This window comes from Homo sapiens, chromosome 5 (assembly GCF_000001405.40).
Source record: "Homo sapiens chromosome 5, GRCh38.p14 Primary Assembly".
Classification (NCBI taxonomy): Eukaryota; Metazoa; Chordata; class Mammalia; order Primates; family Hominidae; genus Homo; species Homo sapiens.
The window spans coordinates 133,711,978-133,726,754 of record NC_000005.10 but is presented as its reverse complement, the minus strand read 5'-3'; the positions used below and the strand labels follow the sequence as shown (position 1 = coordinate 133,726,754).

General features: G+C 41.7%; 1 protein-coding gene and 1 pseudogene across 1 annotated transcript in view; both read left to right on the top strand.

The window, feature by feature from the left end:
• FSTL4 (follistatin like 4) overlaps window positions 1-14,777 on the top strand; it is a 645,613-nt gene that overhangs the window by 115,313 nt on the left and 515,523 nt on the right. The gene's annotated exons all lie outside the window — the stretch shown is intronic.
• On the top strand, window positions 5,821-6,260 carry LOC101060035 (dnaJ homolog subfamily C member 24-like; annotated as a pseudogene).

Below are 14,777 nucleotides of genomic sequence, written 5' to 3'. Positions count from 1 at the left end.
ATACTTTTTTGAAGCTGAAGGTGCATTATTCAGCCGGGATCCTTTTTCCATACAAGGGGCTGTATTTGAAGCCACCTGCCCAGCCCCCCTTGAATCTATCCCTTTGTTATTTTCAGTGCACACAATACTAAAATATGTTAAACTCTGCAATGGAAAGAAATGGCCCCTAGAGCCACAAAAACCCCCTCTGTGCCTTCTCCTGGCTCGCTCATGGGGATAAAGGAAATTGGAATAATTTCAGTAGCAGTAACATCTTCTGGAGGAGAGTGAGGATGGCTGTGCCTCGGTGAGATAAAGCTCCCCAAAAAGGACACAGATGGGGAAGCTGCCCTTCCTTGTAGATGGGGACCCACCAGCTTCAGGACTACTTTTGCAAGAGGAGTGTTTCAGGGACTGTGGGGCATGTTGTGCTCAGAGTCGATGGCGTCTCTGGATACCAAGTATATAAATGTTCGGCATAGCTGCCTAATCTAGGGTTCTCAGTAAGGTCTTGATAGGTGGCATGGCTGAGTTGAGTCATGCAACCACTTTTTAGCCTGGCTTCCCTTGTCTGTGTGGGTGAGGTGGGCTCAGGCACAGGAGTCAGGCATAGGGACACTGACTTGCTCATATGGGAATCAGTTCCATATGGAGGAGATGCTATCAGCCATGCCTCGATATTTTCTCAGCTAATAGTCAGCAGGATCACCCAGCGTTCTGGAGAAGGTAAATGTAATAAGGATGGTCTGATGGTAACATTCTTCTTAGCTGGCTTGATCTGGACTCTGGCACTCTTCAGACCACAGGAGAATGCTGGTGAGGGGTGACTGTTGTTTCACGCTTTAACTCAAGAATGACAAAGGTGCTAACAGAATTCCTGATCCAGACCCTGCCCTCTTGTTTTTCCTAAACTGAGTCCCTAGTTTCAACAAGTGGAAACCCACCTGATGCCAAACATAAGGTAAACTGCTCTTTTCATGTGACTGACTGAAGTTTTGGAGTCATGAAGACAGCTTTGGTCCCACACACACCCCACCCTCTTTCAAATATTATAAAGAGTGTTATTAATAACAACCCCTTATATTGGTGTAGAGCTTCATCCTTTTCAAACCTCCTCATCCATCATGACGTTTTATTACCACCCTCCACATACCTGTGAGTACCCCCATGTGGTCCAGGTCAACTCACCCAGAGGTGAGAAGATTTGGTAAAAGACAGGAGTGAAATAGAGGCGGGACTTTGAAGGTTGATTGTCTCTACCATTAACAATGTACTTGCGTGGCATGTGTATCTGAAAGACATTCCTCTCCTGAAGAAAGGGAGTGGGTGGCTCGTGGAGAACACATCTCTGTGTAGAACTGTTATTTACTGACAGAATAATACTGCATCCTGGTAATAGGCCATTTTCCCCATCACTGCACGGAACTAACCAACCTCCAACTTGCATCTAAGTTTTCATCTCTGGATCTAGTTTCATCTTTTTTTCTGCTACAGTCAACACAGTGAAACTTACCACATTCCTAAATACCTTTTAATGATGGTATTCTAAATTTTTTATGAAAATGGGAAGAACTGAGAAGAGCTAAAACAATTTTTTCTTTAAAAAAGAAGAACAGTGTTGGAGGGCTTACACTACCTGATTGAAAGGCTTACTATAAAGCTACAGTAATCAAGATGGCATGGCATTGGCATAAATATGGACACATAGATCAATGAAATGGAATAGGGTCCAGAAATCCTCCCTTACATAGGTGGCCAATTGATTTTCAACAAATTTGTCAAGGTAATTTGATGGAGAAAGGTTAGTCTTTTCAACAAATGGTGCTGGAATGCCTGAATGCTCATAAGGAAAATAATGAACCTCAACTTTTACTTCATGCCATGCACAAAAGTCAACTCGAAATGGATTATAAACCTAAACGTAAGTGCTAAAACTATAAAACCTCCAGAAAAATTAGGAGAAAAATCGTCATGACTTTCGGATAGGCAGAGATTCTTAGGACACAAAAACCAAGAAATAGAAATGATAAAACTAAAACTAATAAATTTGACTTCATGAAATTAAACTATGTTCTTTTAAAGATACTGTTAAGGAAATGAACAAGCCGCAGATTGAGAGAATGTATTTTCAATACATATTTCTGAAAAAGATTTTGTATTTAGAATGTAGAATATTCAGAACTCAATAACTCAGAGACAACCCCATTTAAAAAATGGGTAAAAAGGTGATGTCAACAAGGTGACTGACTACAAGCTCCTAGTGCTCTTCCCGCCCCCCCACCCAGGAAAACAAAAAACAATGAATAAACACCTATATTTCAACCAAAAGGACTGAAGGAGAGCTCTGGAGAACAGCAAAGAAGCAGTAGAAATCTTGCAGAGCACAGAAACCCAGGATGGTCATATAGGGAAAGGAAGGAAACACCTTGCCTCTGCCACCCAATCTCCTCAGTTAGGATCATCTTGGAACCAAGAGGGACTCCTTTCTGCAGGGAAAAGATAAGCAAAAGGATCCCAGTAGCTTCTGTCACCTCCACAGACACTGCAGTCTTTGCTACCAAAGACTCTTACAGGCTCAAGCCCAGCTGAGAGAGCTCTCCCAAGGCCACATGCTGAGTTACCCCCAGAGAGGGAGCTGACACTGTTTCCCCAACCTCCACTGTGCCCCCTGCTGTGACTACATTGTGCCATATTGGAGTGGGAGCCACTGCTGGGGTGTGTCCTGCTCTAGGGCAAGTAGCCATTGTACTTCTCCATCCTTGAGGATGGCACAGCCTGCCCAATTTTGCTGCCACTGCAACATGCCCACCTGGCAGTATACCATCCTTGAGCTGAGCTGCTGCTATGCCCTAACCCCTAGGGCCAAGCTACCATGGAGCTTCTCCGTTTCCCCAGCCCAGTTGCTGGTGCACTTTTAGGGATGAGCTGAAGTGGTTCCCCAGCCAATGTGGACCTCAGGCCTCCAGCATACTGGAGTAGTTGGGTTCCCCAGTGCCATAGCAGACATGATGACCTATCCCCCAGGGATCAAAAGGCTTCACTGATCCATGTAGCCACACTCCCTGGGGGCTAAGCAGATGCATGCCCTTGTTTCTCAGGGAATCAGAGCCTTGGCTGAGCAGCCACAATCCCCTGCCTACCTGGAATTGGACTTGCAGCCCCATAGTGTGAGCTGCTGAGGCACGCCACCTCTCTGAGGAGTGGAGTCATTGCTGAGCTGCTTTCTTCCTGCTGATTCATAAGCCATAGTGATAGCCTGCCACTTTTGGATCCTTGCTGCTCCTGCACCTGGCCTCACAGAGCCTGGGCTACTGCCATGTCCCACTACCCCAGGGCCCAGAGTCACCACTGTGTGGTACCTCATCCCCCAAAGGCCAAGCTCCCGCTGTGTCATATGGATTCTGCATCCCAAACTACAGCTATGTTCTGCTCTCCAAGGCCTGAGCCTCTGGAGTACGTCTTCTTCTCCAGAGCCATGCAATTGCTGCCCTCCTGCCCTGGGGTGAAAACTACAGCCACATCCCAGCCTTGTGGGCCCAAGTATCTGGGCTATAACTCAGAACAAAGACCCTTGCTTAGTGGAAGAACTGTATCCACTTGTGCCTCAAAAGTAAAACTGTACATCACATCCCAGGTGCCACAGTATTTTCACAAGATCCTAAACCCAGACCCTGGCTCCACAGCTGCTCTGTGCACCTGTGCATTAGATCCCAGTCCTGCTGCAGCTGCCAGTGTACCCTGTAAGACCCAACACCAAGAGAAATCACCTCATTTATGACTCCTAACCGTGGGGAAGACAAAAACAGGAGGATCACTAACGCCTTTGACCTAATACCTATGTGGCCACCATCATGGCCACAAACTTCTGTAGCCCAGACCATTGAGGCACTTGCATTCATCACTGATATTGATCACAACTGAAGAAGTTGCAAGGAGTCTACATCCCTTCACCCACATGAAATGAAAGCCACCAGAGCCTGCTCAACCAAAAGCCCCAGGCCCATCTGCAGATGAAAATCTTCCCCTCTGAAAGCCACTCTATAAAGTTTGAGAGAGCCGATTATACCACCAGATGTGGAGACACCTATGCAGGGACACAAGAAATAAGAAAAAGCAAGGAAAAGTGATACTACCAAGGGAAAACAATAATTCTCTGCTAACTGACCCCAAATAAATGAAAATGTATGAGTTTTCTGAAAGAGAATTCCACATAATGATCTTAAGGAGACTCAGTGAGATATAAAGGAATATAAATAGACAACTTAATGAAATCAGGAAAACAATTCATGGTCTGAATGAGAAATTCAACAAAGAGATATCATTAAAAAGAACCAAACAGAAATCACGGAGCTGAAGAATTCAATTGATAAAATAAAAAACATACGAGAGAGCAGTGGTCCCCAACCTTTTTGACACCAGGGACCAGTTTCATGGAAGAGAATTCTTCCACAGACTGGGTGGTGGGGGAATGGCTTTGGGATGACACTTCCACCTCAGATCATCAGGCATGGCTAGATTCTCATAGATCCCTCACATATGCAGTTCACTATAGGGTTTGCACTCTTATGAGAATCTAATGTCCCTGCTGATCTGACAGGAGGTGGAGCTCAGGACGTACTACTCACTCACCTCCTGCTATGTGGCTGGGTTCCCAATAGGCCATGGACTGGTACTGGTCTGTGGCCCAGGGGTTGGGGATCCCTGCAATAGAGAGCTTCAACAGCAGATTTGATCAAGCAGAAGAAATAATCTGTGAACCTGAAGATAGGTCTTTTGAAATCACTGAGTCAGAGAAGAAAAAAGAATGAAAAACAGTGAAGACAGTCTATGGGACTTATGAGATACCATTAAGCAAACAAGTATTTGCATTATGGGAGTTACAGGAGAAGAGACAGAGAAAGGGACACAAAACTTATTTAATAAAATAATTACTGAAAACTTCTTAGGTTTTCAGAGCGATATGAACATCCAAATTCATGATGCTCAAAGGTTCCCAGATAGATATAGCCCAAAGAGGTCCTCTCCAAGACACAAAATCAAATTGTCAAAAGTTAAAGACAAAGGGAGAATTTTAAAAGCAGCAAGAGGAAAACACCAAGTCACATATAAGAGAACCTACATTAAACTATCAGTATATTTCTTAGCAGAAACCTTACAGGCCAGTATAGAATGGGATGATATATTCAAAGTGCTAAAGGAAAAAAAAGACTGTCAGTCAAGAATACTATACCCAGCAAAGCTGTCCTTCAGAAATGAAGGAGAAGTAAAGTCTTTCCCAAATAAGGAAAAGCTGAAGGAATTCATCACCACTAGTACTGCCCTACAAGAAATGCTTAAGAGAGTTCTTAAAGTGGGAATAAAAGGACAATAATTACCATCATGAATATATATGAAAGTATAAAACTCACTGGTAGAGGTAAATGTGTAGCCAGATCCAGAAAACTATAATACCGCTGGTGTATAAATCATATAAATTTCTATTATGAAAGTTAAAAGTCAAAAAGTCATCAAAAATAAATAAAGCTACGATGAGTTGTTAAAGAATATACAATATAAAAATATGTAAATTGTGACATCAAAAACAAATTGTTGTGGGTAGAGGGTAAAAAAGATGGGCAAAAGGTATTTGAGCAATTGTTTCACACACAATAAATATGTGAGTGGCTAACAAACACATAAAAAGATGTTCAACAGGATTAATCACTAGGAAAATGCAAATTAAAACCACAGAGAGGAGAAGCTGGTTTCGAGTTCTGGCCAGTGGCAGGCAAAGAGTGGGCACTGGTGACTGCTAGATGAAGCTTGCTCATCTGAGAAGGCCCAGTTCTTATTCAATGGATAATGGCATTTGAGCTGATGCCAAAAAATAATTGGTATAGCATTTTTGGGGGCACACCCAAATGTGTCAAACCTAAAACAAAAGTATAAAAAACTTACATTAAAGCAGCATTCAGATTAACAAAGTACAGATGTGCCAGCAGGAATAGTGGAGGACTGTATACAGAAATTCATTGAAATTGATCAGGCGTGGAAAATTCTAGGGAATGAAGAGAAAAAAAGAGTATGATCCTCAGTGGCATGAAGATGATCTAAGAAATATGGAACCAGTAGATGCTCAACTATACCTTGAAAAAGTGCCTTGGAAAAAAGATGATGACTCTTTTTCCCCAAGTAGCCAATGTGGTAGAAAACACAGTGTTTCCAAGGATGAAGCAGAGGAAGTTAACCTATTTTCTTGTGATACATGTTCACTAATTACAGAACTTCTTCATTATTGGTAAAATTCTTCACTACTTGGAATCCTTGTCCTGTGTATTTGGACATGGTGAGGAGAGGCCATCTGAGCTTTGACAATTCAAGGGAATACATTCTATTGTTGTTAGCCCTATCATTTTCAATGAAAATATGATTGTCAAGCAAAGTCCACCTCAGATTAATAGAAAACTAATTTAGTTATTTACATGTATTGATAGTTTGTATTTACAGGTTGCCACAAAAAGAACTTGAATTACAAATTATATTTAGTGCATTCCAAAGGACTTTATTATTTCATTTTCTCCTTGATACAAAATGAGAATTTTCTTTTTCCTACTATGAGCATCTCCTTTTTTAGTGGGTAACAGTATCATTGCATTCCTTTATAGTTACTAAGTTTCTGATCTAACAGATGATATTTCTTGCTGCTAAAGTTATAGGCCTGTTATACACCTATCTCCAATTCTATGGTCATTAAACTTAAATTAGAAATCTTTGTGGATACGTGTGAAGCCAGTTCTCCCATAATGAAGCTTGAATATGGATATTCATGAGGTTATTTCAAAGTTCATAAAGAAAGTGAAGTGGCAACTCTAGGAAGAAAAATAGCTTTAGAGTCAGAAGACTTGACTCCAATCTTATCCTGTATTTCCAAAGCTCATGAATACTGCCATCTTCAATTTAAATGTAATATAGGACATGGGAGCTTTATAAAAATAACTGAAAATTGGCATACTACTTTTCTTTTTCAGAGTATTAAGATATAGTATTAATGCCTATATTTATAAATAAGGAACTATTTCATTGCTAATATAATCAAATGGACTTTTTTTTTTTTTTTTTTTTTTAGATGGAGTTTTGCTCCTGTTGCCCAGGCTGGAGTGCAATGGCGTGATCTTGGCTCACCGCAGCCTCTGTCTCCCGGGTTCAAGCAATTCTCCTGCCTCAGCCTCTTGAGTAGCTGGGATTACAGGCATGTGCCACTACGCCTGGCTAATTTTTTTTGTATTTTTAGTAGAGATGGGGTTTCCCCATGGTGGTTAGTCTGGTTTCGAACTCCCGACCTCAGGTGATCCACCTGCCTTGGCCTCCCAAAGTGCTGGGATTGCAGGTGTGAGCCATCGCGCCTGGCCTCAAATGGACTTTTATAATGTATTATTATTGGCCATAGCAGACTGTAGACCCCTTAAAGATTTATTTTTCTATATATTTAATATTCTGTGTACAGTTCAAGTAAGAACTCATTTAAATAATTTTAAGGGATCCTTTACAGAATCACTGAAACTTTTTACTTCAAATGTGTGTACTAAGCATGTAATTTAGCAGCTTTTTCTTAAGTCCAACTCTTAGCAGTGTCAGATTGGATTTGTAAGTAAGAATAATTACTACTCTGACTTGTAAATGTAGCCAAAGCATAAGAGATATTCAAAAACAGAAGATTACTTTCACTATATGTATAAAACCAAAAATTCAAAAGTGAAGCAGTCATCCAGGTTTTCCCCCCAAAATATTTTTATATCTATCATAAAGTTAAATGACTTATTTTGGATTACATTTTATTTATATATTTTGAACTAATATAGCTTGTAGAATATATGTTGCTTATTCTTTACATTTAGCAATTAAAAAGAACTAAAACTGAACAGCAAATAGCTTATTGGTATGTACATGGTTTCAATGGCAGTAATACATTTACTTGAATAGGAGGTAATAATCAAGTCACAAGAGTAAATGCTTGCTAATTATGTGAAAATCTGTGGCCGTTAGGGCTGTCACATAGAAATCCAAAATCACTCAGAGGCCAAATCTGTAAAATCAAAATGTGGTTGAAGACAATTAATAAAAATGATGTTATGACATCATCATATTTCCCTTTCTCTATTTCCTTTTTCCCTCTTCTCCCTGTCAGGTAATTAAATGCTTTCTTTGTCAATCAAGAATAAAATTTTCTACGTCAAAATAAGACATTAGAAAATAAACTTGCATGAGTATATGTATTTAAACTCTAAAGTTTGGAACATTCAGACATTATACAATAAATTACATGTGTGTAGTGTGTGAAGACCTATGCATGAGTAAAAATAAAGCCACAAGGAGAGACCACTACATACTCTTTAGAGTAGCTACAATGAAAAGAATACTGGCTAAGCGCAGTGTCTCATGCCTGTAATCCCAGCATTTTGGGAGGCCGAGGCAGGCGGATCACGAGATCAGGAGTTTGAGACCACCCTGGCCAACATAGTGAAACCTTGTCTCTACTAAAAATGTCAAAAATTGGCTGGGCATGGTGGCACACACCACTCGGGAGGCTGAGGCAAGAGAATCGCTTGAACCCGGGAGGCGGAGGTTGTAGTGAGCCAAGATTGTGCCACTGCACTCCAGCCTGGGTGACAGAGTGAGACTCCATCTCAAAAAAAAAAACCAAAAACCAAAAAACAAACAAACAAACAAACTAAATATTGGAGAGGATATGGAGCAACTGGAATTCTCATACCTTGTTGGTGAGAATGTACAATGATATGTCCACTTTGTAAAACAGTTGGGCAGTTTCTTATAAAGTTAAAAATACACATCAATTTCACTTCTAGGTATTTACCCAAGTGAAATGAACACATGTTTACCCTAAAAGGTATGCATGAAAGTTCATAGCAGCTTTATTCATAGTTAAAAACTGGCAACAATCCTAATGTCCATGCACAGATAAATGAATAGACAGTATGGTGTATCTGCATGATGCAGTACTACTCAGCAATAAAAAGGAATGAACTACTGATAGATGTAATGACATGGACGACACTTAAAAACATTATGCTGAATGAAAGAAGCTAGACATAAAAGAATAGGCACTGTAATGTTTTATTTATCTGAACCTCTGGGAAAGACAAATCTAATCTATGGCCACAGAAAGCAGATTATTGTTTGCCCTGGGGTTGGTGGGATTGACTGGGATGGGGCACTAAGGAACGTTTGGCTGTGATGGAGACTTTCTATATTTTGATTGCAGTTGCTGGTTACTCGAGAGTGGAAATTTATCAAAATGCATCAACATTATGCTTAAAATATGTGCATTTTACTCCATGTAAATTACACCCAAATAAAGAACTTCTAAAAAACAAAATAGTACCAATCAAATTTAAAACAATCAGCATATTTCTGCCATCCTAATGAAATACTAGTATTGTCCTGGAGAAAACAAATGTTGTTCTCACAGGCCTCTTTTGAAGTTCTAAAATTAGGACCCTATAAGGAGTATAAGGGCTCTTTTTATTGCTGCATAGTATTCCATCATATGGATATACCAGTTTGCTTATCCACTCAACTGTTGGAATTTTAACTGTTCAAACTAGTTAAAAGTCAGAAATAGTCAATTCCTATTTGGATTGCTTCTAACGTTTAACTAGTTTGAATAGTTGTCTGTGATGATAAACCCCCAGATTTTTGCTCTGTGATGGGAGTCAGAAGAAACTATTTACAGGCCAGAGAGGTGCAGCCTGATGGGTCATTCTGGCTCAGGACAGACTCCTGATTTTTAGGAACCAGATAAGGGATTTGCCAAAAGTCCAACTGGCCATTGGCCAAGGGACAAATACTTGGACTGAATGAAATACTGGGTTGGAGGCTATTATTCCAATTCAGTAATTTAAGAAATGTTGTGTCTAAAGTTTCCCTTTTCTAAAAATGGAATTTGTTTCTGTGATTCATAAAAGCTAATATTTGGGAATGATTTCCATTTAACTATAAGAGACTATTGTTTTGCTCACTCCTGTGTTCCCGATGCCTAATGTACCTGGCACACAGTGGGCTCTTAAATATTTTTTGAATGATTGTATAAATTTATGACGTCAGAATTCAAGTAATGAATATGGTTTTTCCAATGTATTAGTCAAGATAAAATAAGTTATACCACAGTGACAAGCACCCTCCAAATCTCCATGTGATTAAATGACAAAAGTTAATATCTTTTACACAGAAGTAGTTCCGTGGTCCTGCCTGACTGCAGGGAAGCTTAAAACACAGTTTAACATGTTCCCAGTTAAGGAGGGGTATGAAATGAAATTTGGCAAACACATAGCATTATTTCTGCCATGTTAAGTCTTGAACAGGTTAAGTTTATATAAGAATATATATATATATATTCTTATATAAACTTATATAAACTGATGAGGCACATCTCTGCTGATGGCCTGTGGTTTTGAGAAAATAAGCCTGCATGAATGAACACTACTCTTCCTGATGGTCTACATCAGATTCTAAGCTCACTTGTCCTTCTGTACTTTTGCTTGTGCAGTTTCTTCCATCTGGAATACCTTCCATTTTCTTGCTGGATGAGCTAAAAATTGGATCCATTCTTAGACACTCAGTCAAGTGTTACTTCTTCCAACGATTCTTCCATGGTACATGGCCTGATTAACTGCACTTACATTTGGACATTTTAACAGCATTTGAACCAGTACTTGCTTATCGATGACCACATGATTTCTAGCAGTGCTGCACATCTAAGAATTCTTTCTTGAACTCTTAAGGAGCCGGCATGGTGCTTTCTTCTGCTCCTTCACTCAGCCGAGGACTAAGCACAATGAGGATACTCAATAAATGTGTGTTTTCAATAAGCATTGGTTGAACAAGCCAGGGCCTGGGAAGTACCCACTCTGTGGAGCTGAGTGGGGAAAGCAAAGCAGCCCAGGTTTAGCAGGTGTGGGCTGCATGAGAGTCTCCTTCCTATTCTTCGCAGTGTTTGGGATTTCGCAAGGCATTCCACGATGTGAAGTAGGGTGTGCATTTACTTACCTATTACACAGCTCCCAGTCCTCATTGAGCAAAATCAAACAGGGGAGTCCTGAAAAATAAAGAGTCCTGTGGGCTGTGGCTGCTTGTCCTTTGAGAAGTTTAAGAGCTCTGGCCCAGGTCCCTTCATTACCAGCCTAAGTAAAGTTAATCTGCCCTCTTTCCCCTAAGTCTATGCTGAAGCATAATGAACAAAAGGCTTAATCACTATGGTATCAAGATATGCCTTTCTGTCTGTGCAAATGTTCTTGGGTTTGTAATGTGAACATGATGCACTCATTTGGAGCCATTGTTCTCTCTAAATGAGAAAATGCAAATGAAGCACTCAGGGTACCATGCCATAACTCACTGCATAAAATTCTTGACATCAACATGAAGCTACTTAGCATAATTTTCCTGTTAATAAACTGCCAATTTAGTCATTTAGGTTTCAGCTTCTAAAGACTGCAACAGCATCAAGCTGGATATTTTTTCTCCCTGTATATGTGTGAGTTTATTATTTTGATGTTTATATTAAAACATAGGAAATTGGAGTTTATGCAATTATTTGGAGATCTTCTATCCTAATTTGTTTGCTTTCATAATTTAGGGAATCTGCTCATTTGAAAGACAACACAAGTTTTCAGAGCATTTTCTTCAGTTCAGGACAAAATTTTCATATTTAAATGACTGAGGAATATTTTGAAGATTTGACTGAGTAATGTCTATGCCGAAGGTGGCTGAACCAGGAAGCCAAGACTGCCCTGATCCCATGGAGAGATCCTGAAGAGATGAGGAAACTCAAGGGCGTAAGGGATGTCTGGGGGACCCAGCTGGTGCATAAGTCTCATTTCTGGAGCTCACTGTCTTCCTGGCTGAGATCCAGCCACACCAGCCTCCTTGCCGGTTATTAGCCTCTTCATTCAAGGAATATCCATTGTTGCCCACTGTGTGTCAATCATGAAATGACGCTGGGGTAACACATATCCCAGTGGAGGAGACAGGCATGACTTAATTAATCACAGGACCACACTTCCACGCAGAGCAGGGGAGGCATATGGTGTTCTGGGAGAGTAAAGGATCTGACTCAGTTCCTACCTTCAAGAGCCCACAGTCAAGATTTACTCACTCATCACAGCTTGGCAGAAGTTTTACGAAGCTTAGATTATCTGCCAAGATTTTTCAATTCTCCAGGTTGTTGTGAAGTGAAGACGCAGCAAAGAGGCATCGAGTATTTTTGAGTACCTCCTCTGTACCAGACACTGTTCCAGGCATCTGATCTGCAGAGCTCTCATCTTCCTGGTGAGATCGCCGGGCTTCAGGGTTAAGAGCGTGGGCTTGGCATGAGTTAGAATCTGGGGCTACACCACTGTCCAGGCGTGCATTTGAGCTCTCACATTTGTCAAATGAGTACGTGAGTCATAGAGTTGATGAGAAGATTAAAGGGAGCCCAGGGCCTGGTTTGTAGAAAGGGCTTGATAAGCAAAGGTTATTTTACATTGCCAGAGACGGGGGGCCATGTTGGACAACAGCCACATCTGGTATTTTATTTTTTTCTCTCTCCATGTGTGTCTGGGCTGGGCTGAGCTGGAGGCATGTCTTTGTGGAGCAGCCTCTGTCCAGATCATTATTGTGTGATTCAAACCCAGCGCCCAGACGAGCCCTTGGTGCTGTGTCTAGTTTCTCACCTCTTCTGTGGGTCAGTGGACAAGGGTCTGTGAAAAGCAAGGGTCTCCCTCCTGGAGAGTGCCTTGTTGCTGTGAGAAAAACCCTGGCTGCAGCTCTGTGTCTCCAGGGTTCTAGCTGTAAGAAGGGTTCAGCGTCCGGGCTCCCTTTGTGGCCAGGTTTATGGGAGAGCCGATGTGTGGCTGTGCATTGCCCAACACTACAGTGTATGATGGATTGAAATGACTTCACTCTTGCTACTTCCCTAGTTTCAACGTTGGAAGAAAATGAGCTATCCCATCTCTTCTAGTCTGGTTGTTTCTCTTCTCCAAAATTCTGAGATCTTGCTTAGACAGAGAGATCAAGGACTTGACACTTCCCATCCCCTCCCACCCAGGACCCAGTGGCTTGGTTTGCATAGCCAGATGAAGCTCCCTATTTGGGGGTTGGACTGGCCCAAACAGGGGGTATCCTGGGAAGATGGAAGGATCCTCCAAAAGCTGTCTGGTAGCTAGCTTGACCTCATGGCTTCTTGATTCAGTGCATCTATCCTACTTTTTGGGAATCCTGGGAACTTTTATTGTCCCTCTTTCAATCTCAAGTTCTCTGCATCACCACTGGGTGCTTGCTTTCTACAGTGCAAAGGTACCATCAGTCAGATCTGGATCTTGCAGCAAGGGGTAGCCTGGCAGCCTTAGGGCAGCTGAAGCCAGGCAAGGCAGGTCCTGAGCTATTTCCTTCCTATCAGATCATGCAATTTGCTTTGCTTTTTTATGGGTTTGTCTAAAGCAAATGTTAGATGATTATACCAACTCATAATTTATTCTTTATTCATTCTAATAATTAGCAGAGTTGCAATTATCACATAGATTTTAAAATATAAAAGTAAACATATCTTTATAAATTTATCTTAATTTTTAAGATAAAGTCTCAATAAAACTTTTCTTCACCTTTCACTATGGGTTTTGTACCTGTTTTGTGTGGATTTGCTGTGGCTCTGTTTCTGGTACCTGTTATCCTAGGATAACAGGATCTCTTTGTATATTTCTTTTTCAAAATATTGATTGAAATGTTGATTTGGTTATGCTGTCAAGAGTAGGATGGAATTCTGGCCTTCTAGTGGGGCTCAGCACCAGCTTCTTACGTGCTCATCTATCCCGTGGCAGGGGAGAGAAAGAAGTAGGATGGCTACAAGAATCACACACGGCCTGGACCTCCTGCAGGGGCTGAGCTGGGCGGCCATTCACTCTCCCTCCTGACCCTCCAGATGCCACACAGCATCGTGGGCATAGGCCTTCAAAGTGGCCCCCTTGGGAATCCTGGCCCTTAAGCCAACTGGACTTCAGTGCTGACATCTGCTTAGAAGGTCTCCAGGACAAATCCACGAGCAACCTGATAGCTCTAGCCTCAGCTTGGGTTTGTAACCCAGTGGGGAGGTTCCCTTGGAAGTGACCTTTGCAGGCCTTTTGTGTTTCTCAAAGTGAAATTTTACCTTGGAGCCAGGCACTGTTCTCAGGGGTTACCCGTGTTAACTCATTAATCCCCACTTTACGGATGTTGAGAATGAGTTTCAGAGCACTTCAATAGCTTGCCAAGTCACGTGGCTGGAAAGAGCTGGGACCAGGATTTGAACCCAGTCAACCCAGCTCTGAAATCAGCTCTCGACCCACTCTTCCAGACTGCCTATCTAGGGGCACCATTCCCACCAGATGGGGCACCATGGAGACAGGAGGGCCCACGCTGCTTCTCCTTCCAACCCCACAGGCCTACTTATAAAGCACCACAATTGCCATATCAGTCCTGGACGATGCCATTGATTTTAGTGGCATTCAGATCACAAGAGCCTGTCTGGAGTTGTGCCCTGGAATTATGCTCCCCACATCCATTAGAGCTAATGGGAAACGTCTGCATAAATCGCATGGTGATGGGGAGTTACAGCTCTGAGTTGGCCTCAGTGGACTTTAACTGCCTGCTCCGAATAGGATAGCTCATCCTTCTGGTTGTCACATAGCCCCTTGTATGGCACTTGTTCTTGGGCGGCCTGGGGATGGAGAGAATAGTGCAAAGCCCTGGGCGGGGTATTTTGTAGCCGTGTGACCTTGGGTCAGTTATGT